Source organism: Homo sapiens, chromosome 2 (assembly GCF_000001405.40).
Source record: "Homo sapiens chromosome 2, GRCh38.p14 Primary Assembly".
NCBI classification, from domain to species: domain Eukaryota; kingdom Metazoa; phylum Chordata; class Mammalia; order Primates; family Hominidae; genus Homo; species Homo sapiens.
The window spans coordinates 37,555,517-37,561,516 of record NC_000002.12 but is presented as its reverse complement, the minus strand read 5'-3'; the positions used below and the strand labels follow the sequence as shown (position 1 = coordinate 37,561,516).

At 41.4% G+C, this 6,000-nt stretch overlaps 1 annotated feature.

The window, feature by feature from the left end:
- Positions 2,679 to 2,728: an enhancer, noted in NCBI's record as "active region_15585". NCBI's record gives its function as "activates an Ori minimal core promoter by ATAC-STARR-seq in GM12878 lymphoblastoid cells {active_cell/tissue: GM12878}" and the evidence as "EXISTENCE:reporter gene assay evidence [ECO:0000049][PMID:35858748]".

The window sequence follows — 6,000 nt, the reverse complement described above, 5'->3', positions numbered from 1 at the left end:
AAATACAGATTTTTTGTGTGTGCCCTTTGTTTTAGGCAAAATGCCATAAAAATTAATAAGACAAAATCCTACAAACAGATCCCAGGTTGGGTAATTTGGTCTTGTGCCAGAAGGCACAGCTTTCTTTTCTGGAAAGGACCCAGGTTTGGGATTGGCTATAGTTCCTCTTTCCATAAAGTCTGAATCTGTCAACCTCCACAGCATAGAGGATTCATTTGTCACACCTGGCATGCATCTGAGGAATGAATTAACACTGGTGTTTTAAGGAAATTTCATTTTAGCAAATTTTGGTTAGCAGGTGATTTTGTGGTTTCAACTTTATTTCCATATAATTAATTTCCTACAGCCAGCTTAGAGTTGCTGAATCCAGACTTCAAAGCATAAAATCCCCCCGACATGGCATGGTTAGGTGCAGGTGGAACAAAAGTAGCCACTGCCAAGGATCTCAGGAGGTCAGAGGCCAGGTTCAAGGCCTTTGTGGAATGTGTACAGCAAGTGTCAGCTCGACAAGAGTCCAATAAGGAAAGAATGGTTCAGAGTCCACTCTGGCAAAAAACTGAAAATAATCTCCTCTAATCAAAAGGTCTTGAAAGAAGGTTACAGGAGCACTTGCTGTCAAATAATACAAAAAGCAAAAGTAAGCAGGTCGTATAATTCTAAGACGTGGATAGATGTAGAAAGCAAATACTTTCTACATAATAAAACTATTAACCAGATTAGGTTATTTCATTGCAGTTTCTGGATCTTTCAGTAACGTAATTGGCTCCTTCGTGTGTCAATGAGGATCCTGGCAGGAAAGAAACAGCACATTCAGCTGGGATTTTGAAGGACATTTTTAGTGGTGGGATCCTTCACAGAGGTGTGGCCAGGATTAAGGGAACCACGGCGGGTGTTGAGGAACCCAAAAACTACCAGCGGCAAGAAGCCACTACTATCACTAGGCCTAAAGAGGCAGGGGACAGGAAATAATATTATCAGAGCTTGGTAAGAGCAGCCACCATAGAAGAAGAAAGCCCTCCAGACTCTGTGACCATAGAGGAACATGGCTGCTCTTAAGACAGTGCCAGGGCAAGGGGGTGTGACAACAAGTGGCCATGTGACCTTCCTCCACTAGCCAAATCCAACTGCAAACCAAAGTGCAAGGGATCTTGGCAATAGAGTCCAGTGAGGCCAGTCTCTTGGGGCACAGAGCAGAGGAGGACAGAGAATGCATTGGGCTGGCTTACCACTTCACCTAATTAAAAGATGCCATCTGTAACTGTGTAAATGTTTTCTCTTTTCTCCTCTATTTTGTCAGGCTAGTTATGTTCTGTTTACTTTTTCCTAAGTACTCCCCCTCAGAGATTTCAATTCTCTTTACTTTCATTGCTGAATCCAAATAAACTCAATAGTAAGATAAGCTTCTTTCTCTTTGTTCTCTAAGGATATTACAAATTTATTACATATTTAATAACATCCCATATACAGCCAAGAAGGGAGCGATCTTAATTTATTTTTATGGTTTTATTTTATTTTATATTTTAATTTTGTTTTGAGACAAGGTTTCGCTCTATCACCCAGGCTGGAGTACAGTGGTGTGATCGTGGCTCACTGCAGCCTCAAACTCCCAGACTCAAGAGATCCTCCCACCTCAGCCTCCTGAGTAGCTGGGACTACAGGCACAAGCCACCATGCCTGGCTAATTTTTTTTAATTTTTTGTAGAGACAGGGATTCACCATGTTGCTGAAGCTGGTCTGGAACTCCTAGGCTCAAGCGACCCACCCATGTCAGCCTCCCAAAGTGCTGGTATTACAGGCTGGAGCCACTATGCTCAGCTATGGCTTTATTTTTTAGAGCAGTTTTAGGTTTACAGCAAAACTGAGCAGAAAGCACAGACAGTCCACATATACTCCCTGCCCCCACACATGCACAGCCTATCAAAACCCTACACCAGAGTGGTACATTTATTACAACTGATAGACCTGCATCAATTATCACCCAAAGCCCATAATTTTCACTGGGGTTCACTCTTGGTATTGTACAGTTTGTGGGTTTTGAAAAATTTATAATTACTTGTATCCATCATTATAGCATCATACAGAGAAGTTTCACTGCTTTAAACAACCTCTGTGCACACATTCATCCAGATTTTAATTTGTAAACATTATGTTAAAAATCCCAAGAGATTGTATCCTGAACTTTAAAGAATTCTGGTATGTTCCTGGTACAGAAACAAAATAAAGAATAATATAGTAAATTATTGCCTAAAATTATTGGAAAATGGAATGACATAGTTAGGAACATTGCTATAGACAGAATAACTAATCTACCAATTTTCAAAGACTTAAAATATATTTGTAACCAGCATGTCAAACAACACAGTTGGTGATATATCAAAACACAACTTTAAATATATCCTCAGTGGGGATGATTTTCCTCAGTACCTGAAAGAAAGCGCTGGCTTTTCTGGTCATTTTAAGTCACAAAAGGCAAGCTCAATTCACAAGCAGAAATTGGCTAGCCCCAAATATTAATATCTAAACTGAAGTTAGAGCAAAATCTTCTTTCCTTCCTCATCTGGGAGCTGCTTTAAGCAGACCACTTGTAGAAGGGCCCAGGGGTGTGGTTGCCACCTACTCACTTCCTCTTTGTTTCTTCTTTGCTGACCAGAGCCTCAGCCCCTCTGAGAGTGGTATGAGGGATGAAGGAAGGGAAAGAGGGCCAAGGGAAGTCTTCTTTGCTTATGGCTTTGCTCTTTTTGGGCCTGATACATGTTACAATCCATCATTTCTCTCATGGGTGCCTCTAAGAGCTCATCAGAGGCTCCTCTGCTGGGCTTCCTTGACATGAGTGACATGTTCTGTCCCCCTCGCTGCTGTTTCCCACTCTGTACTGGTTATTGAGTTGTCCACTCTACACAGACTCTTACCGTTAAAGCTTCCTCATTCCCCAGGGTGTCCTTTTGGATAGGAATTTGTATTCGTTAGCTATGGCTGGATAACAAATTACCATACTATTAATACTTAAGGCTTAAAACAATCAGCCAGGCCCAGTGGCTCATCCCTGTAATCCCAACACTTTGGAAGGCCAAGGCAGGAGGATCTCTTGAGGCTGGGAGTTTGAGACCAGCCTGGGCAACAGATCAGGGTCTCATTTCTAGTACTATATTTTAAAAAAATTAAAATTAGCTGGGTATGGTGGTACATGCCTATAGTCCCAGCTACTCAGTAGGCTGAGGTGGGAGGATCACTTGAGCCTGGGAGATCAAGGCTATAGTGAGCCATGATTGTGCCACTGCACTCCAGTTTGAGTGACAGGGCAAGACCATGTCTCAATAAACAAATAAATTAATTAATTAAATAAAACAATCCACACTTATTATCTCACAGTTTCTATAGGCCAAGAATCTAGGCCTGGCTTAGATACGTCCTCCGCTTCAGGGTCTCTTACAAAGCTGGGGCCACAGTCATCACAAGGCTGAACTGAAAAGGAGCTGCTTCCCAGTTCACTCACATAGTTGATATCAGGATTCAGCTCCTCACAGACTTCTGGACAGAGGGCCTTAGCTCCTCCTGGCTTTTGGCTGGAGGTCACCCTCAGTTCTTTGCCAGGTAGTCCTCTCCAACATGGCAGCTTGCTTCACCAAAGCATGCAAGCTGAGAAGGGAATAGAGTGCCCAGCAAGACAGAAATCACAGTCTTTTGTAACCTAACCATGAAAGAGACATCCCATCACTTTTATCATATTCTCTTGATTAGAAAGAAGCCACTAGGTCCAGCGTACACTCCAAGGGAGGAGATTGCACAAGGGCATGAATAACAGAAGACAGGAATCATGGTAGGCCATTTTTGAAAGCTGCCTATCACAGACTTAAAACAGTTTGGACTCATCTCTCTCTACATCTGGTCCACAGGAAACATTTGTGTTTACCGCCTACTGACAAATGCTGAGACAAAGTGACCACCTCCTTCTAGCTGCCACTGGCCTCCTTAGCTTTCCCAGGCACCAGTCCCTGACCCCTCCAACTGCAGTTCCCTGCAAGGGAGTATACAGAAAACTTGCCAAATGACCTCGTGAAATTCCCTCTCCTGCAACCTGACATTAGAAGACAGCCCCTCCACACCCCTCTTTTCCTGTAGGGAAGAGAGGTGGAAACTCACAGACAGCCATAATTCTCTCCCCAGAAAATCAGCTGATAATGTCCCCGCGTGTCTCCTCTTTCTTTACACTTTTATATTCTCAAAGTAAATTAAGCACTCAAGAGTTTCAAAGTTATGAAACTGTTCTTTGAGCATTCCTTTTGTAAAGTCTGCATATGACAATCTGTTTCACACCCACTTTGGTGTCTAATGTCTATCATATTGTTGCCTCACTTGAAATTGAGAGATGAAAAGACCCATTTTAGCATTTTCTACACGTTTAAAATAATCTTTTGATTACCCAGAAGGCTGTCACTAATTTATAGTATTTATCATTTTGATCATCCATTTTCATTTTCCTGGGAAAAACTGCATAGGAACCCAGTTTATGAAGAAATCAGTTTCACAATAAAATCATAGCTGTGAATGAATCACATAAAATCTATTAAAGTACACTAACATATCTTTCTGTTAATGCATTGATATAATTTTTAAGCTTTGTTTTGAAATGAGAACATCACCTTTTCTTTTTCTGATTTTCTCATTAGGCAGATTCTATAACAAAATCTCCTTGTCGAGAAAGAAAGGGATAGTGTGGAGTGACATACATATACCAGAGACAGGGGATTTTTGTCCAAGCTCATTTATACTAATGTCTGTAGTACACCCTTTGAAAGCACCTACTAAACCCATTTTATTTTCTAACTATTTTGGTTAGTTTCCAAGAATACTATTTCCTCTAACTTAAAATGCTCCATTATCAGTAGACTTGGATGTTTAATTTTGAAGTTCTAAGAGCCAGATTCTTGTTGTGTGTAACTGAGGAAGACATTCCTAGGAGAACATTATCCTGGTCCACAGAGTGACCGTATTTCATTTATTATTTCCAAGTCCTTTATCATCAATGTCATTAGGTTTGGCCAGAGACAAGGAGGTTAGAATTCCCCACCACCACCACGAGTATGAAACAAACTTAAAACGATGAAATATGCATTCTCTGGTTGTGAAGTAATGAGTTCCTGAGATGGAATAACCCAAGAAGTAGGTGTAGAGCAGACATCATCTAATCCAAAACTTGCAACCTGCTAATAGAGAACTAGAACAAAATACCAAAATGAGAGATCTGAATGAGAGGTCAAAAAATCAACATAAAAATTCCAAGAGACATAATCCCTAAAGCCTCAGTAAGACAAAGAAAGCAGCAGACAGGAGAGATCATTTCTCCAGGCAAGGGCATCCCAGACGCTACTCAAAGTAAGAGGCACCTGAAACTGTGAAGAAGGATCCACAGAAGTTCATTCCTCTCTGAAGGCTTCTCTGATGGCCCAGAAAGACATAGGTGTCCTCCTGTTGAGGATCTCCACAGAACTTATACTGAATTCCCCTATACCACTTTTCACAGTCAGAGGGAAGGCTTGTTCATGGGTCTTCCAATTTCTACTTTAAACAGCATAGCTTGAGGCCAAGGATGCCATGTTTCCATCTGTATATCTGCTACTTAATGCGTAGTGAATGTTCAACAACCACTTCTTAATGCGTATAAACGTTCAACAAGCATTTTTTGAATAAATAAGTGAATAAACAAATTGAAAATGAGGTAGTGGATAGTCCAAACAGCAAAGATCAAAGAGAAACTAGGTGAGAGGAGAGAAGTTTTAGTCAGTGCCCTCAGGGAGCAAAAGCCCATGGGTCTTTGGTTTCTACCCAACCACGGCCGCCAGCCTGGCATCTATTGCTCAAGTGTTTCTGCTCTAGCAACCTCAAAACTTAACTTCCTCCCCTGCTCTCAAGATCTAGACTTCTGCACATTCACCCTCCTTTTGCACGTGTTCAGTTGCCTGGCTCTTAATCTCATCTCCTCTATTTCCTCTCACCTCTTCT